The following is a 26,284-nucleotide window of genomic DNA, read 5'->3' on the forward strand; positions in this document are numbered from 1 at the left end:
TTCCCAACTTTAATTATTTTCCCAACTTATTTATTACAAACATTCCACAGAACATGGAAGGAAAATATAACAATGAGTAATATGACATACGCTATATACTTACCATCCAGGGTCAGTGACAGTGAACATTTTGTCACCTCTGCTTTACCTACATTTGTGTATATTAAAAGAGGTATCTGCATGTTTACATGTGTGTGGTGTGTATATAAGCCACAGTAAGTTGTATGTATCCACTGTAGAAACCTTAGCCTGCATCTCCTCAGGATAAGAACAAAATTAATAACTCCTTCATATTACCTAGTCTCCAGTAGATATCCAGATTTTCCCAGTTGTCTCACAAATGTCTTTATCTATTAAGTTTTTAAGATTTAAAAATACTTAATTGACAAAACTTGTATATGTTTAAGGTATACGGTGTAATGATTTGATGTACATACACATTGTGTAAATGAGTATGACAATCAAATTAACACGTTGGTCCTCACCCGTAGTTAGTTACTATTGTGTATGGTGAAGACACTTAAAGTCTGCTGTCTTATCAAATTTTAAGGAAACACAACAGCATTTTTAACTGTAGTCAGCATGCACTACATTGGATTCCCAAAACTTAGCCTTTTTTTATTTTTTTTGAGATGGAGTCTCACTCTGTTGCCCAGGCTGGGGTGCAATGGTGAGATCTCGGCTCACTGCAACCTCCACCTCCTGGGGTCAAGCGATTCTCCTGCTGCAGCTGCCCGAGTCGCTGGGACTACAGGCACGTGCCACCAAGCACAGCTAATTTTTTGTATTTTTTTAGTAGAGATGGGGTTTCACCATGTTAGCAGGGTGGTCTCCATCTCCTGACGTCGTAATCCACTCACCTCGGCCTCCCAAAGTGCTGGGATTACAGGCATGAGCTACCGCGCCCGGCCAAAACTTAGACATCTTGTTAACTGAAAGTTTGGACCCTTTGACAAACATCTTTCCATTTTCCCCTTTAAATTCCCCTCAGAAAACTGGGATTCGTATCAAAGTTGATATGGTCTGTTTGACTATTTATACCTTTGAGTGTCTTCTAATGTAAAACAGTAGTTCTGAACCATTTTAATTTCAGGACTCCTTTATGCTCTTAGAACATATTGAAGAGCTTTTGTTTGTGTGAACGCTCTCTCTCCATGTTTGTTGTACTAGAAATTAAAATGAGAACTTTCTAAAATGCAGGGTTACCTGACCACATAATCTATTATGTGTGAAAGTGCCAATATCATCACTTTCAGACACGTTCTGGAAAACTCCCCCATACACTCATAAGAAAATGAGAGTAAAACATGCCCATAGCATCAGAGTATTACCATGAAGTTGTTTTGACTTGGTAGATCTCCCTGAAAGAGTTCTGGGGACCTGGACCACACTTTGAGAATTACTGACCTGGAGTTACCCCCTACCATTTTTATTTTATGACAATTTTTTCTTTCTTTAAAAATGTGTTAGTGAAAACTTAAAACACATGAAATATGGAGAATTGTGTGGAATTTTTTGAATGTTTCTAATAAGTCACTGATAACACAGCAGTAGGGGGTGGAGGTTTGAAGTTCCAGTGCTAGTTGAAACTGAAGACAATCGGGTTCACTGTTTAGTCCCCTCCACTTCTAAGTTGTGTAGTGGCCCCTTTGCTTCAGTTTCCTTATCTGCATAATGAGAATAGTAACACCTATGCCACTGTTAGGTTAAAAGGATTAAATAAAGAGCATATATCATGTAGCTGGGATAGTGCTTAACACATAGTAGACGCTCAGTGCATGTTATCTATGATTATCTGTAGTGGGGTTTCCAGTGGGCAGGAGAGCAATTTTGCCTCCCAGAGGGCAGTTGGCAATGTCTGGAGAAATTTTTGATTGTCACATCTGGGGCAGGGAGTGTGTTGCTGACATGTGGTAGGTATAGGCCAGGGATACTGCTAAACACCGTACAACGCATAGGACAGCTGTCTACAACAAAGAATGACCCGGTTCCAAATGCCAAGAGTGTTGAGGTTGAGAAATCCTATTATTTATTGATTATTTTATTTTATTTTCAAGACAGAATCTTGTTCTGTCACCCGGGCTGGAGTGCAGTGGCACGAACATGGCTCACTATAGCTTCAACCTCCTGGGTTCAAGAGGTCTTTCCATTTCCCAGGTAGTTGAGACCACAGGCACATGCCACCATGCCCAGCTAATTTTTTTTTTTTTTTTAGAAATGGGGTCTCACTATGTTGGCCAGGCTGTCCTCAAACTCCTGGCCTCAAGCTATCCTCCCACTTCAGCCCCCGAAAATGCTGGTATTAAATGCATGAGCTACCACACCTGGCTGAAAAATCCTATTGAATAGCCAATTGAAATAGCTTCAGTCAAGCAGTGACCAGTTGTTGAGAGTGCAGGGGGTGCAATCCCATATTCAACACTGCATCATTCAAAGCTGGTTTATGTACTGAATGAAGGTAGCCAGCAGCTGTAAAGCCCCTACTTGGTGTAAGGCACCATGCTGAGGACTGCAGGAATCACGTCATGTAGAGCGCCCTGCTGCCAGTGAGCGTGGAAGCAACAGGAAAGCTGGAGACCACACCATATTCTGGGTCACCTCTTGTCTGTATTTGTCCCAGCCTCTTGTGCTTCACACGTCAAAGACATTCAAAAGGCAGCTGTGCATTTTAGTTTAAAGTTGGTGGCTGAAGCTTGGTGGGGAAGCTTCCCTTGATGCTCCTATTTTTGTTCCAGTTGAAGCAAATGGGGCAGTCGCCTTCCCTTCAGGGACAAGCCAGCACTCGAGATATTCCGGCCATGGCGAAATTCCTCAGTATGAACATCAGAGCTGCTCCTGGGGACCCCACACATGGAGGAGACAGACAGAGAGAGCACACTGTCTTCTCTCGTAGAGACCCACCCTTCTCGGCAGCTGCCTCTAGGCGTGCCCCTCTCACCATAGCTGCTGTGTCTGCTTCATCCATGTGTTGTTTCTTCGATTGGCTAAATTTTAAATAATCACATCTTTAAGGAACTGCATCTCTTGACTTGGGGGTTCTCGAGCCAAGCTGTGCAACGGAGTCAGTTGTGAACTCTTTAAAAGTGGATTCCTGGCCGGGCGCAGTGGCTCACGCCTATAATCCCAGCACTTTGGGAGGCTGAGGTGGGCAGATCACGAGGTTGAGAGATCGAGACCATACTGGCCAACATGGTGAAACACTGTCTCTACTAAAAATACAAAAATTAGCTGGGCACGGTGGTGTGTGCCTGTAGAGCCAGCTACTCGGGAGGCTGAGGCAGACAATCAATTGAACCCGGGAGGCGGAGGTTGCAATGAACCGAGATTGCATCACTGCACTCCAGCCTAGTGACAGAGCGAGACTCCTTCTTAAAAAAAAAAAGTGGATTCCTGTTCCTGCTCCCAGAGTTTCTGCCACAGGACCCAGTAATCTGATATGCAGCAAACTCCCTAAGGGTTTATCCTACTTGAGATGGAGAATCTGTCCATTTGTCCTAGTAAATGTGCTTTGAGTATCAGAAAATCAGAAGTTCCTAAGTGGGAAATACTGACTCTTGGTCCACACGGTCCTAATTCCTTTTTGCTTTTTCCAAATTCCTGGGATCCATGGAGAGGTAATGCTGCTCCTAGTTTAAAATCCTCCTCTGGCTTCTCATTGTTCTCAGAATGCAATACACATGGCCTTGATCCTGTGTAGAAGGCCCTGCACACTTGGCCTCCTGCCCACCTCCATATTGTCATCCCAGGTTGATTTCCCATTTGTTATCTCTGCTCTTTTTTTTTTTATCGAGATAGGGTCTTGTTCTGCCATTCAGGCTGGAGTACAGTGGCACAGTCCTAGCTCACTGCAGCCCTCTACCTCCCATGCTCAAATGATTTTCTCGTCCCAGGCTCCCGAGTAGCTGAGACCACAGGTGTGCACCACCATGGCTGGCTAACTTTTTGATATTTTTACATGGGGGGGGGCGGTCTTGCTATATTGCCCAGGCTGGCCTCGAACTCCTGGGCTCAGGCGATCCTCCCACCTTAGTCTTCAAATTTTCTGGGACTACAGGCAGGAGCCACTGCTTCTGGCCAACCTCTTTTCTGTCTCAGAGCCTTTGCATCCATGTCCCCTCTGCCCCAAATAGTCTGCCTCTTGCTTTCCAAGTGTCTGGCTCCTTTTCCTCCTCCAGGTTTGGCTTTAAGGACATCCTATCTTATGGGCCTTCTCTGGCCTCCTTCCTGATAAAAGTAGTTCTCCCTTATACCCCTTGTTCTCTGGCCTCCTTCCTGATAAAAGTAGTTCTCCCCACATACCACCTTGTTTTTTGCATTTCTTGAAATAGTCGCCATTGATAAAATTAAACGGGATTGTATGTTTGCTGTTTCCCTGACCAGCTAGTGCCACAGGGGCAGGGACCTTTGGGTCACCAGTCACCATCAGAGAACCAGCGCCTGGTTCAGTGTTTGGCAGATAGTTGGCACTCAGTTAGTATTTAGTGGATGAATGAATGTGTGGCTGGATTCCCTCTAACTGTTTCTCCATGTTTACTGAGTGTCCTGATCTTAGCACAGATCCTGGAAAACTCAGCTGCCCCAGTCCCTCAGGCCCTCACAGGGGGTTCGGGCACAGTCGTGCTCCCGGGTTTATACCCACGTGCTGCTGAGTGGGAGCAGAGCCATGCTGTGCCCTGAAAGCCCACAGAAGTAGGTGCTGTTTTCAGCAGGCCTCAGCTTCTGAGAGGCATCTGCTGAAAGCTGTTGTTGGCACGCCTGCGTTGGGAGAGAAGCAGAGCTGACGAAATGTCAAAGGGTGAATGGGATAATCAGGCCCCAGCCGTCAAAACTGCCACCCACTCAAACCAGTCAGAGCCTACAAGAGAAATCTTTCAGACATGTCAGCTTCTCCACGTGTCTAATGGCAGAGAGCAAGGATGCCCCCAAGGGAGGTTTGCAGGGGCCGGTTCCGTTTGCCTGGAGCCTTTACAAGCCACATTTGGGCACATCCATCATGGATACGGAGGCAGCTGGGAAGGAAAGGGAGGGCAGTTCTTCGCAGAGCGCGGGGCATCTGGTCCAGTTCCCAGTGTGTGGAGTAAATGCATGATTGGAGCCTCATTATCCCATTTCTGTGACCTTCTTCTTTTCTTCAACATTGGTACTCGTGAAGCAATGTGAAGGTCTTACAATTCCTCAGCACAGTGAACAGAGCTCACGGGAGCCTCTGGGAAGATTACGTGCTCCTTTTATTCCCATGACAAGGTCCACTGAATTCCATTGAATTCACTTTGTTCCCTGGATCTCTCAGACATTATCCTAGATCCCAGAAATAGAGCGATGGACAAGACAGACCAAATAGGTTCCTTTGGAGCCTGCGTTTCTGTTGGAACAGATAGATGATATATTAAATACGTACCTAAGCCAACAGTGTACTTAAAGACTGTGATAGAATCCACAGAAGAAGGAGACAGCTAATAGGACTGGCAGTGAGCTAGGGCAGCCACTTTAGATAGATAAAGAATGTGAAGGATGAGCTCTAATCCACATCTTCCTCCCCATCTGTTTTTTCTAGGTAGGGAATGGATCTCTATTTCTCCTGCTTAAGGAGTCAGCATGAAGTTGTTATGTGAAGACATCAGGGTAGTAGAGATGTGACTTTTGTGGGGTAACTCCGGATTTTCATTTGAGCCCCAGGAGGATGAGTCTTGATTTTACCACTGCTCAGTTTGCATGTATTAAGTATATCTCTGCTTTGTGGATTGCCCTGTGTGTTTCATTCTATCTGCTACCAGACACATGAAGAAAAAAATAGGGCAAGGCCTCTGAGGGTTGGGCTTGTTTTCCCAAGGGCTGCTTCCGGAGTCCTCAAATTTCATTTGAGGTTGATAAGATGCCTGTTCTGCCGTCTACCTTCAGGATAGGTCATTCCCTATTTCACTATTATTTATAAAGTAAAGTCGTTTGTCTTTATGGGTATACCCCAGTGTTTTTGTTGTTGCTTACTTAGTTTTTGGCTTCATTAACATTTTGTTTTCTCTTTATTATGTTTTTGTATTTTCTTAGGGTTTATTTCATTCTCCACTCTCTCCACCCCCAAGATTCCTGAGTTCAAGCTATAGCTATTTGCCCTTTCTTATTTTCTAATACGTACATGTAAGGCTATACATTTTCCCCTGAGAACAACTTTGGCTGTGTCCTGTCACGTTTGCTCTATGGCACATTGCCATTTGGTTCTACATTGTTTATTAATTTCTATTTTGATTTTCTGTTTAGAAATATATTTTAAAATTAGCAAGTATGCAGATAGTTTTTGGGATTGGTTTTGGGTTACTTGTAGTTTTCTAGGATTGATGTGAGTGAGCGAGGTCCATTAGTTCATCAACTTAAAAATATTCTTGATTTCCTTTGTGGCCTGTACTAGAAGTGTACTTGAAAATTCTATGTATCTTGCTTGTATATTCGGGTTGAACAAACTCTCTTTGGATTTTCTTATTTTTCTGATTGATCTCTGGATATCTTTTCATTTATCCTTTCTAGTTGGTGTTTCTGCAGGTGAAACTATTAGAATTAGTTTTTCTTTTTGCTTAGCTCTAGCACCAAGCCAGGAATTTCAAAGTAGGAAGAATAAAACTAAATAACCCCTTTATCATCTCCCCAGGTTCACCAAGAGGATATTTCTGGTAATGAGACTTTATAGTGAAGTGGGGATGAGCTTATTGATGCAGCGAAACTGCCTGTGGCAAGGATGTCTCTGCAAAGACTGAGAGATCTACCTGTAGACCACTTTGAGGGGATGGCAGCAGTTGCCCTGGTTGGCTTCTTAATGAGGCATTTCTAGAAATACACCATTTTGTCCACCAGGAAAAAAAAAAATTCCAACAACCACATCACCAACAAGCATGCTTTAAAAGGCCAGGAATTCAGGACCAACCTGATCAATATCGTGAAACTCTGTCTCTACTAAAAATACAAAAATTAGCTAGGCATGGTGGCATGTGCCCATAGTCCTAGCTACTCAGGAGGCTGAGGCAGGAGAATTGTTTGAACCCGGGAGGCGGAGGTTGCAGTGAGCTGAGATCATACCACTGCACTCCAGCCTGGGCAACAGAGCGAGACTCCATCTCAAAAACAACAAAAACACCAATTTAAAAAAAAAGAATTGCTAAAATATATAATTAAGGTCATCTCTGAGCTGAATAAGCCTTGAAGCAAAAAATCATCTCTTTTTCCCGACCTTAACACAGAGCTTTAGAAACCTGTGAGAAAGAGAAGTGCTTCAAAAAGACTTCACTGGTAGCCAAAATCATCAGAGGTGGTTCTGATAACCACTGGCACTGCTGGAAAGTACTTAATAGAGCAATCTGTTATTTGGGAGCATTAACAGGGTGGACTGAGGCTGGACTGTTTTCCTCTTCAGATTAAACTGCAGCCTGGGAAGGCTTTGGGGGAAGTGACAGGTAGGTGTGTTATGCATAACTCTTCATTTTAACCAAACCAGCAGTTTCTTCCTCTCCTTTCCCCTATCATCAAGATGTCTCTGTATGTGACAAGTCTGTTGACAGCAGGCTCCTCCTCTCCTCCCTCCCACTTTTGTTTTAGGTGCCTGGTCTAACATATGAGGTCATTCACCATTATCTCGGAAATGCTCGTAGCTGGTCTGAAGTTGCTGGAGAGGTGGTGGGTGGAGCACACTTTTGACTCCTTCAGCATTAGATTCTCCCTAGCTTGCTTATCTCAGTTCACAGTTTTGGAGATGGATACTCAGGCTTTGGTTAGGGGGAGCATTGCTCCAGCAGGATGCCTATGTAGTAGTATTCATGATACATTACAGAATTTAAATGAAAATAATCCTTGCCCAATCAGTCCACCCATTGGTACTGTCTGAGCACCCACATAATGGCACTTGGATAGCACCCCAACAAAGATCTCAATTCAAACCAAGTTGAATAGACCCAAAATGTAATCTCATGGAGCTGAAAATTCCAGAGGGTTGGCCTTTACCCCTAAGTGTGACGGAATCTGGATGCTCTAATGATGCCTCGAGGCATCTGTCCTACTCTGTCCTTTCCTTCTGTTTTTGTTTTATTTGCTTGGTGGGGGAGTGGCCACCCTCAGCTCCAAACTCTGTTTGACTATCTCAGCCTACCCAGCAGCAGGAGGGAGCCAAGTTTCTGCAAAAGCCTCAAGGCTTGGGCTCTTTGGGTTCACCTGGGTCAGAAACCCACCCGTAGAGCAGTCCTGCCAAAGAGAATGAGAACAAGTTGGCTTTTTTTTTTTTTTTTTTGGAGACAGAGTCTCGTTCTGTTAGGCTGGAGTGCAGTGGCACTATCTTGGCTCACTGCAACCTCCAACTCCCTGGTTCAAGCAATTCTCCTGCCTCAGCCTGCCAAGTAGCCGGGATTGCAGGCATGCACCACCATGGCTAGCTAATTTTTGCATTTTTATTAGAGACGGGGTTTCACCATGTTGGCCAGGATGGTCTTGTTCTCCTGACCTCATGATCTGCCTGCCTTGGCCACCCAAAGTGGTGAGATTACAGGCGTGAGCCACCACGCCGGGCCCAAGATGGCTTTTTGAGATGAAAACACAAGGAAAGAGCATGATGAAAGAGATGGTTCCTGAGTAGAAAATAAGAGTCATAGAAGTGGAAGAATTTAAACAATTGCCATAGGGCCCAGCAATTCTTTTGTCAGGTATATGTATATGTCCACAAAAGATTTGTACATGAATGTTCATAGCAACATTGTTCACAATATCCAAAAGGTAGAAACTAATCAAAAGCCCATCGAGGGAAGACTAGATAAACACATTGTGGTCTATCCATACAGCAGAGTATTTTTTATCCATAAAAAGATATAGAGCACTGACATGAGCTAAAATGTAGATGAACCTTGAAAACATGCTAAGTGAGGGAAGCCAGACACAAAAGGTCACAGACCTTAGGATTCCATTTACCTGAAGTGTCTAGAGCAGCCAAATTCATAGCGACAGCAGATTAGTGGTTACTGGGGGCTGGGGGCTGGGGGAGGGGTTTTGAGGAGTGGCTGCTTAACGGGTCTGAGGTTTCCTTGTAATGAAAATGTTCTGGACTCAGATAGCGATGATGGTTGCTTAATACTGTGAGTGTATTAAATGTTTCTCATAATACATTTAATCTTATATGCATTTCACCACAGTCAAAATAAATATTAACCCATTTTCAATTAAACAACTAGATGGAGCAAATCAGGATTGCTGAGTGGGCAAAATTATTCTGTAGCCCATGTCCATAGGTGCCATCAAGATCAAAACCAACACCAATGTAAGTTGTGAATGTAGGCTGAGCTATGGAAGATATGGGAACATATGCCTTTGTCTCTTAAGCCACAAGCCCTGATTTTCATTTCCAAGTTTCTGCACTGTGATACTGCCTGAGGTCCTGGGTTTCTGTAAAAGAGACAACTGTCACTCTGTACAGTACTAATCCTACACTCATACACATTTCTTGCCTTTTTACTCATGTGCGGTTTAAACTGCTAGGCACCTCACAGGGTTATCCTTCTTACTAGTTCAACTGTTAGAGTTTATTGAGTCTCTCATATGTGCCTGCAGGTTTTCTTAGACCTGTCAACAAACTTGGAAGTGTATCAACCATAAACCCAATAACTAAGTTTAATAAGTACTGACTGTCTCCTAGCATCTCTGTTCAATACATTATTTTTTTCATTGCATTGTCTCACTCCAGCCCTGAAAGGTAGGTGCTATTATAAGCTCCACTTTGCAGATGAAGATATTGAGGCTCAGAGAGCACAAGGAAATGGCCCAGCTGGCAGGTGGCAGGGACAGAATTCAGACTCAGAGCCCCCCTCACTGAAATCCCTGGTGAAGCCATCCAGCAGAGTAAATGAGGACATCAGCAAATGCTGGGTGCTCTCAGCCTCACACAAACCAGAGAAACATCCATTAGAAAGCACAAATTAGACCATCTTGCTCTCTTCTGTGGATTCCCTATTTATAGAGTGCCCAGTGGATGCTATTTCTAACTTAAGCTAGGAGGTTTTCTTTGAAAGTTTCAATCTGCAACTTAAAAGCAAAGCAAGAGAATAAAAGAGCTGGGAGTGCACTTCACTAAATGCGGTTCTGAAATCTAAGAGCAAGGAGGCAGGGGGAGAGACATGATCATCTTATTAGTGTAGAAGGATAAAGATGATCAGAGAGGGATGCTCCATTATTTATAGGAATCCGGTTCTTTTCTATACACTTCACTGAGGCATTTGATATATTTGTGCTGGAGATTAACACTGATGTTATTTTCTTTAATGTCTGTTTTTAGTGTATGCGGTGCATGTTGGCATTCAGGAAATTCAGCCAGAGGAGAAAAACAATAGTATTAATTAGGAATGTCAGTCATGGGTGTTATGAAATTCAAAACTGCCAAGTTTCTGGAGCATTTAGTGGTAATTATAATAGACTGTAGAGACAAGCTGTTCTTCGTTTCCTATACAGAAATGCACAGTTTGATGGGCAAGTGATCAAAGTGCTAATGCAAACCCTTCTGAAAGGGGTGCCTCTCTCACCCTGTTATTTTAGGAGCTAATGCTTTTGCTAATTCAGAGCTGCCCAGAGAGAGGAGACTATCCAGTGAATATAAGGCCCCTTGTCTTTTTATAATTTAAAATGACTATTCAAATTATATCTCCATCCAAGTTGCAGTGTGAGCTGGGGGTTGAAGGATGCCACCTATCAGCCTTGCAGAATATTTAGATTTAAATCAGAGCCATAGCTTTTTCCAGGTAGAGTCACACTTATAATCAGTTTTCTCTCAAAGTGATGAAGAATAAAAGCCTGTCCTATGTTCTTCAGGTAACCCAGTTAAATGGGTGGAGAGATTTGCATCTTTGAGAATTGGAAAAAAAGGGGTGCAACTTTCTTGGACTTGCCTGGGTTGCTGGTTAGAGGTTTATGTCTCTTGGTATGTTTTAGAGTCATTCTCTCAGTCTGGGGGCAGGCAGTGGATCAGGTAGAATGGCAGGGATGGAAGGATTCCATCCTCAGTACCCTAATGTATTATATTCTCTTAGGTGAGCTTCATAGTGGCCCTTTGGAACTGTCTGGGCAGATGCCTACCTCTCTGATGAGTAAAATGAATTACAGATCAATAAACCTGCCCCAGGTTATTCTGATGCCATGTGTCAGGAGGGCTCTTGACTTCATGCCTGGTGCTGTCTCTAGTGCTTCCCACCATTTCTGCACCTCTTCAGTGCCCTCCTGCTCCAGGGCCTTTGCACATCCTAGTCTTCATTTCTGCTATGCTGAACCTTTGAAGGCTGGCTTTGGGTGCACCTCATTCTTTAAGGACAAGCACACCCCTCCAGACCCTAGCAAGGACCCAACTGTGGAAACAGTAAGTGCGCCACGTTCTCTGTAAGATTTTCATTTGAAGAAAACAAAACAACCCACAAAGAGTTAAGTCGTATTTTCCAGGAAAAGGCAGAGCAGTGGGAGATGAAGACTCATCCATCTCTGATTTTTTTTCTTTTATAACCACCACCTCCATTAGCTGGAGATAATGATGTCAAGAGGAAAAAAACTTTAGCGGTTGTTGGTTTGCCTGTAATTTGTGTGGCTCACAAGCAGCCCAGCTAAATTCAGTGGTTTCTGATGGTCCTACCTAGACCAGAGAAATAAGAGAGGGATGATCAGAAATCCTTCACCGTAGGTGTGTGTGTGTGTGTGTGTGTGTGTGTGTGTGTGTCTGGGTTTTCATTTTTAATAATTAATAGTAGTTCATTCTCCATCCTGAACTTTTGCAGAAATAATTAGGGAGCTTGGGGTTGGGTCAGTAATTGCTCAGAAACGTGCTTGGCTGCAGAGAAGCCTCCACTCTGGGGTGGGTGAGATGGTGGAAGCGCCTCCACCCGCTTCCAGCGGTTTGGAAGTATGTCTAGCGGCATCTCTGCATCCTTTGGAAAAGCAGGGCACGCATTTTCCTGCTGACACACACAAGCCTTATAATTTAGCATTAGAAAAGAAAAATGGTTTTGAACAAGAAAATATATTTAGAGCTCATTATTCAAGTAGAAGTCACAGAGAAGGGGCAAGGACGGAGCCAGTCAACAAGAAGCAACCCACATTACAGGGTCAGAAGGAAGCCTGTGCCTGGCACCCAGGAGCCAGGCAGGAAGCAGGTTCCAAGGTCGACAGGGTTGATATCAAGGTCACACCTCAGTAAAGAAGGTGCATGAAGCTATCTTCTCTCAGAGGGAACCCATCCTGAAGGCTCTGTCCAGAACTACTTCTGTGGATTTCCTTCCTCTCTCTGGCTTTCAGCACAGGTCATCTCACAGTCCATTTCCATGTTCAAGCCTCAGCAGGGTCTCGCTTGGCACCTAAAGGTTGACGTCAGTGTCACTGAGGCCAGACCTGGTTGTTCCGTCAAGTGGAAGGGGCTCCATGGAGGGCAACTATCTCCATTCAGTGAAGTTCATGTCTATCTTTGGGGGAAGCCCACATTGCAGTTCTTTTCCATCTTTGACTTGCATTTCTTCTCTCCTTCTCTAGCTACTTATTGTGGCATCCCTCCTGTCTGTATCCACACCTTTTCTCTTCTACCTTACAAATACGTATACACATGGCAGTGCATCACTGTAATTCTTGGCCTCATTGTAGGCCTTGTGGCTCTTTCCGATGTTGTCTAAGACTCATTAGCATTTCCCAGCTTAGCATTTTGCCTGCATCATCTGCTTCAGCCTTCAGCTTTTCTCTTCTGCATCAAGGCTGGTTACAAAACCGAAAGGGGGAATGAGGAAGCCCCATGGGTCTTGATGCATCCAGGGGAGAGGAAAGATAACAAGTGCTTCTGTGTGTGACAGGGACTATGCCAGTTGCTTTATAAATACCATGTTGCCATTGAATCATTCATTCTTGGTTGTCCATCCTCTATGTAGTATTGTTCTAGGAGGTGATTCTACAGCAAAAGACACAGCAGATATAAGCCCTGTCTTCATTGTTCTTAGGGTCTAGAAGTGGGGCATGTAATTAAGAAGAAATTACAGGTATACCAAATGTTATTCTGGAAGGAGCATAGGGTATTCTGAAAATCTTTTAAAGCAATTGAATTTAACCTGATTTAGGGTTCAGAGAAGCTGTTTCTGAGTAACAAAGACTTGAAGGATGAATATGACTTTTATTTCCTATGTAATCTCCACTTTCCTCTACAATGGGTAAAATATTCATGTCTGTTTGCAAGTGGGGGAGCTGAAGTTTAGTGAGGTAGGGGTAACATGCCCGGGCGCAGGTTGATAGTGACAGGGCCAGGACTCAGTCTCACGTTTGACTCCAGAATCTATGGGACTCTTCTCTCACATATCAGAAAGTCTTGACAAAGGAACTTACAGAGCAAAGGTAGACAGAAGGCTTCCTGGCAGAGCCCAGGTTCTGTTTGTTTAGAATTGGAAGCATCTCATAGAACATAGTATTGGGTTAGTGCCAAAGTTATTGTGGGTTTTGCCATTACTTTTAATTATTTTTGCACCAACCTAATACGTGGCGAATGCATGGACGTTGGAGAAAGGTTTTGATTCAAGTTCTATTTGGTGATTTTCACAGATTTGTAACTTCAGATGAGCCACTTTTCCTTCCCTATGGTGAAAATCTGTTGGACAGATTCAGATATATAATGCTGGTCTGGCGCACGTAGTACGTTATGTAAAAATAGCACATTGTGGCTGAATATGGTGGGTGGCTCATGTCTGTAATCCCAGCACTTTGGAAGGCTGAGGCAGGAGGATTGCTCGATCCCAGGAGTTTGAAACCAGCCTGGACAACACAGCAAAACCGCGTCTCTCCGAAAAATTTTAAAAAATTAGCCAGCCATGGTGGTGTATGCCTGTAGTTCCAACTACTTGGAGCCTGAGGTGGGAGGATTGCTTGAGCCCAAGAGGTCAAGGCTGCAGTGAGCTGTGATTGCACCAGTACTCTCCAGCCTGGGCAAAAGATAGAGACCCTGTCTCAAAAAAAGTGTGTGTATAGATATGAATATACACTGTATATATACATCCACATGCACATGCATGTACTCACGCACACACACACACACGCACACCCACCCACACACACATAGAAAGAGAGTGAAAACACATTTTTGGGTTGTAAGGAACAGAAGAAGGGATGAACCAGCCCAGGAAGCTCTCCTCTTTGGGAGAGACCATTTACTACTGATCATTTCTAGACTTTGGGCTAAGCACATTGGTGCTTGAAAAGAGAGAAGCATCCCTGGGTTTTCAGCCAGGCGGCCACAGATGTGAACAATAGAGAACTCAGCTCACGTGCCCAGTGGGAAGAAGACAATTGCTCCCCAAACACAGCTGCCTCTTTCTCAATTGGACCCAACTTGGCCAGATAATGGAAACACAGAAAACAAGGCATGGGGAAAACGAGCTGTTTATGTTTAAACATGGCAACGGAGCCTCAACACTGAGCCTTCTTGGATGGCTTCCGCGTGTCATCGTGCAGCCCGTGTGGCTGCTGGGCCCAGCCTATGGATTTGCAAGGCTGTGCTGGAGCCCATCTGTCAGGGAGGGATAGATGATTAATAGCATCTGTTCTAGTCATCCACTCTCCTTGTGGATGGTATGTGGAGACATGCTGCTCCTCTCCATTCTCCTCTGGCAGCTCCTGGAAGTTGCAGCAGACATTGCTTTGAAATAAAGATGAGGGGCACAGAGCTCCTCCTGCTGGATGTGGTTTGGGGTAATGAGCTCTCATTTGGGGGAACATAATTTTCTGGGTTATGAAGACTCAATGGGCTAAGTCTTTTGTCTATAATTAGGTTATTAGAGGGATCATTTAAAAAAAGAAGGCATCGCATGTTCTCAGTCATAAGTGGAAGTTGAATAATGAGAACACATGGACATGGTGATCGGGAGGGAACGTCGCACACCAGGGCCTGCTGGGGCATTGAGGGGCAGGGGGAGGGAGAGCATTAGGACAAATACCTAATTCAAGCAGGGCTTAAAACCTAGATGATGGGTTGATAGGTGTAGCAAACCACCATGGCACATGTATACCTATGCGACAAACCTGCACGTTCTGGTATTCCAGAACTTAAAGTGAAATAAAAAAAAAAAATAAAGGAAAACATCACACCTTTTTACCCACCCATTTGTGTATCCATTCATCTATACTTGCATCTATCACTTATTAAGGTAACTTTTATGAAACATTTATTGTGTAGCTGCCCATATATGTGTGTGTGTGATATTACATATCATTTAGGAAGTTAAGAGAGCAGACTCAATCTCACATCTCCCTCTCACTAGCTGTGTGACCTTGAGCAAGTCACTCAACCTCTCTGAGATTCAGTTTTTCCATGTGCAAAATGCAGATAGCAATGAGTTGTTGTGAGGATTGAATGAGATTGTGCCTGGAAAGTGCTCAGAACATGCTGGGTGTGGTGGCTCATACCTGTAATCCCAGCACTTGGGGAGGCTGAAGCAGGAAGATCACTGGAGGCCAGGAGTCTGAGGCCAGCCTGGCCAATGTGACAAAACCTCATCTCTACTAAAAATACAAAAAACTAGCCAGTTGTGGCAGCACATGCCTGCAATTCCACCTACTTAGGAAGCTAAAGCACGAGAATCCCTTGAACCTGGGAGACAAAGGTTGCAGTGATCCGAGATTGTACCACTGTATTCCAGCCTGGGCAACAGAGCAAGACTCCACCTCAAAAAAAAAAAGTGCTCAGAACAGTGCCTGGGCACATAGTACTATTCAATAAATGTTGGTGATTGACTTTTATATTTGTACATTGATGAACCAACCTGAGGTAGCAAGTATGACTCTCTGTCCACAAACAGGTGTGAAGTAAATATCTCAGTTTTCCTTTTTCTTTTAGAAAATCAACTAAAACCGGTCTCCAATTCTGCATCTTCCCAGGCTGGTGGGAAGTTCTTGCTCAGTCATTATGGAGGGCAAGGTCAAACGGACAGAAGGGGAAGACCCAGAAGTTGAACCCAGGCCTCTGATGTTGGTTACTATGACAGCTTCTCTTGCTCTATCTTTCTAAAAGACCAGAGATACCAATTCTCTTGAGGCTGTTGAGTATCACTAGAGAATAGGTAGTTCTGCAAAGAATATGTCCTCCTATGAGAAGGCAAGTTTCCAGTGTGAAATCCACCTGCATATTCACATTTTAGTTAAACTGAGTTTTGTGTTTTGGGTAGTAAGGGCTAGTAAGAGATAGTCAAAGAATTCTTAGGGGAAAATGAATGCACTTTCTATGGGTCCCTGTTTACAGTAGATAAATGGGCATGTAGGTAAATGTGCTTACGAGTGATTAGGAGTGAAGGATAGACTGCCTACGACTCGCCTGCCTCCCTCATGTTGCTTTGATTTGAAGTCAAGTTTGAAAGAAATTCACCGGACCAATCCATATTAAACATTTATGAATGAGACACTAGATTAACTTCTATGGATACAGCAGAGAATGACACAGGCATATTCCCTGCGCTCATGGAATAAACATGTCGTGTTAGTAGAGCTTGTTATAGGGTCCTTCTATCAAGTCTGAAAAACACATTTCTCTGAATTCAGAAGGTGAGTAGCAGTTAGCTAGGGGAAGAGTGTTCCAGATGGAGGAAATTGCATGTGGAAAGGCTTGGTGGTGAAGCAAACACTGTGTTCTGGAGGAACGTGTAAAAGTCTTATGAAGATGGATTATGGGTATGAGGGGTGCAAAGAGAGATGAAGTGAGGGAGGCAGGTCTTCAGGACCAAGATTGTTAAAGAGCTTTGCTTTTATTCCATGAGCCGAAATGTGTTCTATGTCAGATGCTCATGGTGGAGCACCGTGGGGCTCTGTGTGTGTACATATTTCAGCTGCTCAGCATCTGAACCCTTTTGTGTATTTAGGGATTCACTATTGTGTTGGTGTCGATGAATGTCAGGAATATTAAAAATACCAGATACTCATTCCTCTCCTCACCTCTGCTTTCCTTTCTTCTCTTCTGGGCAATTTGGTGCAGCCTGATGCTTCCTTCTGGGACACTGGCTCTGGTTCCAGCAGCCCACAGATGCAGGGAGAGTTTAGAAATTGTTCTGAAGGAGCACCAGCCAGTCAGTGTCCTCTGAAGAGGGCAGTGCAGTCTGAATTAGACTGTTCTGTGGTGTCATCTGGGTTTAGCGGCTGGTCTTGTTCTTAAGCCTCTGTTGCAATTTGTTGAACAAACAAGTATTCGTCCCAAGAACTCCTTTTCTTTTGAAAGAAATTCCTGCCAGTTTCTATTGTTCTTAAACAAGAACCCTAATCAATATAGAAAGTAAATAGATTTAGGGCATATGTGCAAGCGGGTAGGGCAAGGTCTTCATGATGATCTTTTGAGTATTTCAAGTTAGAACCCGGTTCCTAAGCTCAGTGAGCCTTGTCCATGGTGCTGGATGGTTACGTGGTTAATCATTGCTTCCTCTGGGTGCTTGAGCCCGTCCCACAGGAATCTATTATGCGGCGTAGGCAAGTGAGAACCTCAGCTGAGGTCTCTGCTCTTCCTCCAGTGTTTCTCACTTCCCATTGTCTTTGGACAAATGGTACATGGAGTTTGTCGACATTTGTGTTTCCAGATGAAGGTGGTGGCATTGTGTGTAGAGTGGTGGCTGCTAAAATTCACTTTGAGTCAACCCGCTGTTCTAGCACGTTAAATTTGCTACTCAATGCTCACTCTTCTCATTCTTATTTGTAGACCCAGCTCATGGGTAAGGATGGACAGATTCACGGAAGAAGAGCGATGGCTTAATTAATGGTAATGCGGAGGATGTAGGTACCTCAGTGATTGGGGCTACATGTATGCAGAATTGGATGGAAGGCTAAGATGCAAAATGGGATAATTGAACTGTTAGCTGAACTGGAATTTAGCAGTTAATCACTTTTATGAAACCTGCATCTCAATTCATTACTCCATTTATGCCTTGTTGCAATACATAGCTGTTCAGCTAATTGGCAAAGAGAAACCAGGCAGAGTACCCTGGAAAGGGCAAGGCTATTGAAAGTACTGTGATCTTTTCTGCAAGGGCGCATCTTCATTTAATCCAACCAGGAGTTTTCTGTTCATCTGAACCTCATGCTTCTCTTAAGGTGAGCACTAAATAATATGCTAAAGTCATGCTGTTACATCCGAAGTTGTATGACTGACCACCAATTCTCTCTCTTTTTTTTTTTTAAAAAACAATTTAAGTTCTGGGATACAAGTACAGAATGTACAGGTTTGTTATATAGGTATACATGTGCCATGGTGGTTTGCTGCACCTATCAACCCATCATCTAGGTTTTAAGCCCTGCCTGCATTAGGTATTTGTCCTGAGGCTCTCCCTCCCCTTGTCCCCCACCCCCCGACAGGTCCCGGTGTGTGGCGTTCCCCTCCCTGTGTCCATGTGTTCTCATTGTTCAACTCCCACTTATGAGTGAGAACATGCAGTGTCTGGTTTTCTGTTCCTGTGTTAGTTTGCTGAGAATGATTGACCATCAATTCTCTTTCATGAAGTCCTCTACCCAATTATTACCTGGTAATGAACTTTTTAGTATGGTGATTAAAATAATGGGCTTTGGCAACACAGCCATCCAGATTTGAAATTGGACTCTACCACACGTTTTCTGGGTGACATTGCATAAGCTCCTTCTCTCCAAATTTCTGTCTCCTTTATAATTAACTTAAGGGAGTTGTAGTGAGGCTTATATTAAAGTACAGTTCATAGTGAGCAAAATGTTTAGTCTGGTGCCTAGTGTTTAGTCTGTGTTCTATTCATGCTTCCTGTCATTGCTCTCTTTCACCTAGGAAACATATATTGTTTTAAGAAAAGGAGGAACAAAGGAATATCTCCCTATGAGTGTGTTGAATCAGAGATAAAAAATGGAAATGGCTGTTAGAGTTGGGGCTCGATTGATTTAATGGACAGAAGTTTATCAACAAAGGCGTCAGAAGAGGGACATCATGAGACTGGCAGAGGAGAAGGAAGATATGTGTGGGGGGTAAAGGTACAAAAACACATGAGCTGTGCTTGCAGGGGCATTGCTGCAGGACACCATGAAACCTTTCACGATTTGGGTGCAGTGTGGCTTAATGAAAATGGGAGCTCAGTCTGGCGGAGATTTGTTTGTTTTGCTTGATGGAGGAATAAGAAGGTCTCACCTGAAAAAAATCTTCACTTTGCGGCCAAGTCCATTGAACCCTAATGTCCTGTTTAATTTCAGATCTCTCTTTTCACGGATATGGATCCATGGGGGCTGAGGCAGGCACATATCTGAGTAAGGGACTCCACTGTATACCTGGAATTGCTCTTCCTCTTTAAAGACTGAGACTCCCAGTGAGTCAAGCTATTAGGTTTCTGGTTCCCTTGCAGATAGACTTGGAGTACATGTCACATGGGAGTCTCTAGACTTCAGTAGACAGACCTGTTGGAGGCATGGATTTAGCAGTCATAAGTAGAAGTGGCTGTTAAAGTCAGCGGAGTGAAGGAGAAATAGTTGAGAGGGAAGAAAAAGTAGTCTGAGGTCTTAACCTTGGAGAATGCCAAACTTTAGGGGCCAGCAAAGGCACTAAAAACATCTTTACACTCCGGGTGAAGCTGCCTATGATAAGATGGTTTACTATTCATTCTCATCCTCAACAAATACTTGCTGAGAACCTCTATGTCCCAGGCATAGTTCTAAATGCTAGACATAGAGTAATGAACAAGACGTGCAAGTTCCTTGCCCTATAGAGCTTGTATTTGTGTGTGTGTGTGTGTGTGCTTGGTTGGGGGGCAGGGGTGCAGCAGCTATAAAATTAGCAACTATAAAAAGACCAACTTGAGATGTTTTAAGTGCCATAAAAGAAAGAAGGTAAAATGATGAGTTTCTAGGGAGAATCTCTTAGATAAGATGGCCAGAAAAGACCACCCCATGAGGTAATATATATATATATATTTTGAGATGGAGTCTCGCTCTGTCACCCAGTCTGGAGTGCAGTGGTGCGATCTCGGCTCACTGCAAGCTCCACCTCCTGGGTTCATGCCATTCTCATGCCTCAGCCTCCCGAGTAGCTGGGATCACAGGTGCCTGCCACCATGCCTGGCTAATTTTTTTTTTTTTTTTTGTATTTTTGGTAGAGACGGGGTTTCACCATGTTAGCCAGGATGGTCTCGATCTCCTGACCTTGTGATCCACCCGCCTCGGCCTCCCAAAGTGTTGGGATTACAGGCATGAGCTACCGTGCCCAGCTTTTTTCTTTTTTTTTTTTTTTTGAGGTGGAGTTTCTCTCTTGTTGTCCAGCCTGGAGTGCAATGGTGTGATCTCAGCTCACTGCAACCTCCCCATCCCCGGTTCAAGTGATTCTCCTGCCTCAGCCTCTGGAGTAGCTGGGATTACAGGCACGTGCAACCATGCCCAGCTAATTTTTTTTTGCATTTTTAGTAGAGACGGACTTTCTCCATGTTGGTCAGGCTGGACTCGAACTCCCGACCTCAGGTGATCCACCCACCTCAGCCTCCCAAGGTGCTGGGATTACAAGCTTGAGCCACTGTGCCCGGCCGGTAAGATTTTATCTGAGACCTGTAGGATAAAATTGACGTAATGCAAAGAACGAGAAGGGGATATTTCAGGCATTTTTAACAACATGTGCAAAGGCCTTGAGGTGGATTAAGCTAAAGTGTCTGAGATATTAATATACGGGAGTGGGGGAGGGAGAGAGAGGGACTGACCTGGCTGAAGAAGAGTGAATATGAGTGGTCTGAGATGAATCTGGAAGGAGTAGAATCTTGAAGACCATTGTAAGCAGTCTGACTATTTTTCTTGGAGTATTGGGATACAGTAACACATCTCCCCCTTGTTGAAATGCGTAATATATATATGAGCCTGGGGTTGATATTAGAATGCTCTGCACCTCCTAGGTCTCTGGGGCTGTGATACATTCACTTATGTAGGACAGCATTACAGTTGGGTTTCAGATTGCCGTTTCATGTCGGGCACTGGGGTAAATGACACCAAAAGCTATTAATGTAAATTAATGATTGCTCCTGCTGGCTTTGTTACAGTTTGCTCCAATGAGAGATTAATAAATGCATCATGCCTTGCAAATTTGCATCCATTAAAAGCCTTCCCATTGTGGGAGCACCATTAATCCCCTTTGTGGTGGGGTGGGAGTGGGTCTGAAGAACTTTTTTAAAAATTGCACAGCTGTGAAACCTAGTATTTAATATAAACTGGTTAAAATGTGGTAATCGATGGAAAGACACCTGGAAAAAGAGGGTCACTCTACAATTTATCAGGTGGTGCTAGAGATAAGCATCATACAATTTGACAATCGGTCCGTCTAGGTTTCTAAGCCATGTATTACTTTCGGTGGAAGAGATGACCATTTGTTAATCCCTGGTTTGTGCCAGGACATTTCATTAGTGTGATTACTTTAAATCCTTGTGAACCTGGGAGGAAGGAATTATCCCCATTGTACAGATCATGCAACTGAGTTTCATAATAGATAAGCAATTGGCCCAAAGTCTCAAAGCTGAGAACAGGAAAAGCTCAGGTTTTATCCAAGGTTGTCCGAGTCTAACAACACTATGTTGAAAGAGAGGTGTCTTCATCCTTGGCAGCCACACATTGAATTCATGGAAGAGCTTGAGAGGTCCTTGAATTTTCCTCACCAGAACTGGCAGTCTGATATGTGAAATGTATTGCTACTTTCTCTTTAAAAGTGAGAACTGCACATTTTAAAGACTGGCTGCCATGAAACAGCTGTGGAAGTGCAGACCCCAAAGCTCCCAGGGTCTAGTGTGAGTCCTGGCTCTGCCTCTTGCTTGAATTGATACTTCAGGACAATTCTTTAACCTCTCTGAACCTTTGTTCATTCACTTACAGAATGGGGAGAATCAGAGTGTCCACCTTTTAGGGTTATAGTAAGGATTTACTGAGATAAAGACTGGACAATGCTTTGTTTTTGCTAAGGTCTTGCCCTCTAGGGCTTGTATTTGTGTGTGTGTTGGGGGTGGAGGTGGAGGTGGGGGGTGGGGGCGCCAGATCCTTGGCCAAGTCTCTCAACCTTAGATGCAAAGCTGTGGCACTTGGGAAGCCTTCGAAAAATAGTAATGTGCAGGTCTTACCCAAGAGATTCTGACTTCCTTGCCAATGCCCAGGTTTAACCCCAGAGCATTTGTAACCTCCCTTAGGTGAGAACCACTGCTTTTGATTGGCTGTTGTGATGGTCAATACTGAGTGTCAACTTGATTGGATTGAGGCATACAAAGTATTAGTCCTGGGTGTGTCTCTGTGGGTGTCGCCAAAAGAGATGAACATTTGAGTCAGTGGGCTGGGAACGCAGATCCACCCTGAATCTGGTGGGTACAGTTTAATCAGCTTCCAGTGCATATAAAGCAGGCAGAAAAACCTGAAAAGGAGAGATGGGCCTAGCTTCCAAGCCCACATCTTTCTCCCATGCTGGATGCCTCCTGCCCTTGAACATCAGACTCCAAGTTCTTTAGTTCTGGGACTTGGACTGTCTCTCCTTGCTCCTCAGCTTACACACGGCCTATTGTGGTCTTGTGATCATGTAAGTTAATACTTAATAAAGTCCCCTTTACGTGTATGTGTGTGTATATATAATATATAATATATATACTGTATTATTTATATTATATGTTTTATATATTATATACAACATATAATTTAATGTATATTATATGTAAATTATGTATTACATACAGATACCTATATGTATGTAAAATTGCCTAAGGTCTTCCCCTAAATCCGTCAGCCCAATATGAGCTTGAGTGCCTTACTTGATTTTGACATATTATCCCAAGGTATTCTCTGATGGTCAAGTGGCTCATTCATTCAGTTATCACAGCGTAGGAGAATGCAGATGCATTATTAGCTTTTAAAAAGATGTAACTGGTGATTAAAAAAATTAAATTGAACTTTATAGGTTTTCTCACATAAAGTAACCCATTTCTTTTTTGTGTGAAAAGGTGAGCTCTTGGCTCAAGCTAAGGCCATCTCATCCTATATCTAAAAAGGATATCCCTGGAGGTGGGGAGAGGATGGCGCCCTCTTCGAGGGCTGACAGGATTGTAGGTTGGTATGCTCTCTTTGCAGAACAAGTTGGCAGACAGAATCTAACAGATTTGAACTAATAGGATATATATCTATATCCTATGAGTTCTGTCCCTGTAAGAGAACCCTGACTAATACAGCTGTGGAATTCAAAGGTCATGAGATGGATGTCTCTGCTTCACCAGACATGACCTAGTTGGGACAAATGAGTGACGCCACAATGCTCTGCAACTCCCACGTGGCACCAGCTCTCCTCTGTAGAGCCACTGACTGTTCCTTGTGTAGGTTTGTGTGTGTGTCTGTTTTCTAGGATTAGCCTCACACAAACACCTACATTTCTCTTGGTTCCCTCAAGCTTTCCAAGGACGGACACTTGTTTATAAAATGACCCCACGGTTAATAAAGTAACTTCTTGATGCGTTTTAAATGGGACCCAAAGTTTGGAATGATTCAGCCTTTTCATCAGCTTCTCCCTCAGCAGGGAGCCGTTGAAGCTATCAAACGATATTGCAAATACATCACCGCCTACTGTAATGAAGTGCATCCAAATAAATGCTTGGCTGGTATATCTGGAGCCCTGTCCTGAGCTGTGTATCTCTACTTTAGGGTTGCTTGGGGGTATTTGGTTTCCTGCGTTATGATGTGAATGGGTATTTAAAATATTTTTGTAGAATGCTGCACTTGAGTTCCAGGCATCAGGGAGCTCTCCAGCGTATGAGACACAGTTTATATTATCTCCCAGGCACAGATAGATAAAGTCACTAATGAAGTTGGGGCATCCAGCCTGATGGTTGGTTTTGTTAGGATCTGGTGTAAAGTGCATGCGATAGAAGCGGTTGTGATTCTCTTCCCAGCTGAGATGAATTGGTCTCATAAGCAGACATGAAAAAAGGAGAAAAGAAGCAAGGGTGTTACTGGCTTCAGCAAGATCAGCAGGAACTGGAACTGTGTAAGTTGGAGAACTATATATTACAGCTCCAAGAAGGAGATATCACCAACCTATTAAGGATATTATTGGCTTTTTTGATAGGACATCCAGAAATTGATGCACTGCCTTTGGTTCTGTTATGTTTTCAAACTTAATTAAGTTTATACCTCTCCCACCTGGACCTCATAAATAGTTAGCCTCCAAGTAAGTCATTTGTCATGGAGGGGCTCTTATGAGTAGATTCATCTTCCAAACAACATTATTATTGCCTAAGGTTTTGCCTTAAATCCATCAGCCTAATAGGAGCTTGAGTGCCTTACTTGATTTTGACATATTGTCCCAAGGTGTTCTTCTCTGATGGTCAAGTGGCTCATTCATTAAGTTATCACAGGGTTGGAGAATGCAGTTGCATTATTAGCTTTTAAAATGATGCAACTGTTGATTAAAGAAAATTAAATTGAACTTTGTAGGTTCTTTCATATAAGTTAATCCATTTCTTTTTTGTGTGAAAAGGTGAGCTGTTGGCTCAAGCTGAGGCCATCTCATCCTATATCTAAAAAGGATATCTCAGGAGGTGAGGAGAGGGTGGTGCCTCCTTCATGGGCTGACAGGATTGTAGGTTGGTATGCCCTCTTTGCAGAACAAGTTGGCAGACAGAACCTAACAGATCTGAAGATGTATGCTCCTAGTACATAGCAATTTCACCTTTAATTATGTGACTTGGACAAAATCTTTTACATATGCAGAAAGAGATGTTCATTGCAGCAATGTTTGTCATGCTGGACATTTGTAAATAACCTAGATGCCACTTAATGGGGACATGAATGAAGCAAAGGTGGTGTATTTCGTGATAGACTACTGTGCATCAGTCAGAAGGAATACAAGTAGGTCTCTTTTTAATTTGATACTGCATGTGGGTTCCCTGCATTAATATGGACAGGCTCAGAAACGATATTGAGTGATGAAAAGAAGATGGAGACTGGTATCTACGTTGGATGTTACTTGTGTGAATTTTTACTCAATGTACCAAGCAACATGGAATGTAGAAATGTATCAAGAGGAAGATACACACAGAGTTTGGCAGCTGCCTGGGGAAGGGGAACAGGTTGGGGTAAATGGAACTGGGCACTGTGGGGTTATGGAGGATGTTTAGTAATATCCGTGATGTTCTGTTTGTTTAAGGTCTAGAAATCATTGTGACAAAATATAATTTGTAGTTTTGGGTGGTTTGAATATTAGTATTTTCTCCATTATTTTTTGAGAATAGAAGAAAGACTTCCTGGGAATAGGAGGTAGAATATAGTCAGAGTCAAACCCAAAGCCTGCAGTGAAGGTAGCTGTTTCCTGTGCCTCCACTGAGAGATCCTGGCTTTGTCTATTCAGGTGGCCACTGAGGGATTTCTACTTAATCGTGGGTCTTCTTTCTTGACTTCTGATTATTCACTAAGATATTTGGTCTGGTGTTTGACTACTGCCTCCCCTAGAGGCCATATGAATTGATTTCTCTCTATATATTGATTTGACCCTCAGTACTTAGTATTGAGGGTAATATGGGAAAAAAATGCCTAACTCTCATAGTGGAAATTGCCGAAATATAGAATAGATGTTTAAATAACAAATGAAAGTATTTTTTCCAGTAGAAATTCCATTTGGCTATCAATTAGTCAGCAAAACTGCTTCTAGTTCTGACAGAAGTCATAAATTGTTGACTTTCATCTGGGGCTGAGAATAACTACTGTTGAAAAAGGAGGAGTCCAGGATTTAATGAGCCTGGATTTACTTCAGTTTAAGCTTCGAATACTTCATCTTTGTAGAAAATTCAGAAATAAGATGGATATCAAAGTCATTGCATTTTGGGTTGGGTACGGATACCCATGCTGCGTTGGGATCTATTGCAAGAAGGATTACTCACTCATATTGGCTAAGAATCAAATTAAGGAGTTAATATGAGCCAAATAAGCCTCTTTTCCTTATAAATTACCCTGTCTACTCTTTTATAGCAATGCAAAATGGACTAATAAACCCTCAGACTTCTCCCAGTACAGTGGAATAGGGGGAGACAATTAAGGTTGAATGTGATGTGTGCTTAATAGGAGTGGAACAGTAGGAGGAAAACCCAAGACTAGAAACTGTGGTGCCTTCATGATGTCCTGGTTTAGTGCAGTAGTGTGTGGACCGAGAGAGACAAAGGTGTGTAGAGTCGCCTGCTTACCACTCCCTCCCCACCAATTAGTGGGTAGCCAACTTTGGGCCCGTCCTTAAACTTTTTAGCTTCCTCCTCTGTAAAATAAGACACTGATATGTACATCTCACAACTGTTGG

General features: G+C 43.3%; 1 protein-coding gene across 4 annotated transcripts in view, besides 1 other annotated feature; it reads left to right on the forward strand.

The window, feature by feature from the left end:
- RBFOX1 (RNA binding fox-1 homolog 1) overlaps positions 1–26,284 on the forward strand; it is a 2,473,620-nt gene that overhangs the window by 421,454 nt on the left and 2,025,882 nt on the right. The gene's annotated exons all lie outside the window — the stretch shown is intronic.
- Positions 17,301–17,501: a silencer, noted in NCBI's record as "peak2482 fragment used in MPRA reporter construct". NCBI's record gives its function as "represses an SCP1 promoter by STARR-seq MPRAs in K562 erythroleukemia cells {active_cell/tissue: K562}" and the evidence as "EXISTENCE:reporter gene assay evidence [ECO:0000049][PMID:32103011]".

The sequence above is a fragment of the Homo sapiens genome, chromosome 16, assembly GCF_000001405.40.
Source record: "Homo sapiens chromosome 16, GRCh38.p14 Primary Assembly".
Taxonomy (NCBI): Eukaryota; Metazoa; Chordata; class Mammalia; order Primates; family Hominidae; genus Homo; species Homo sapiens.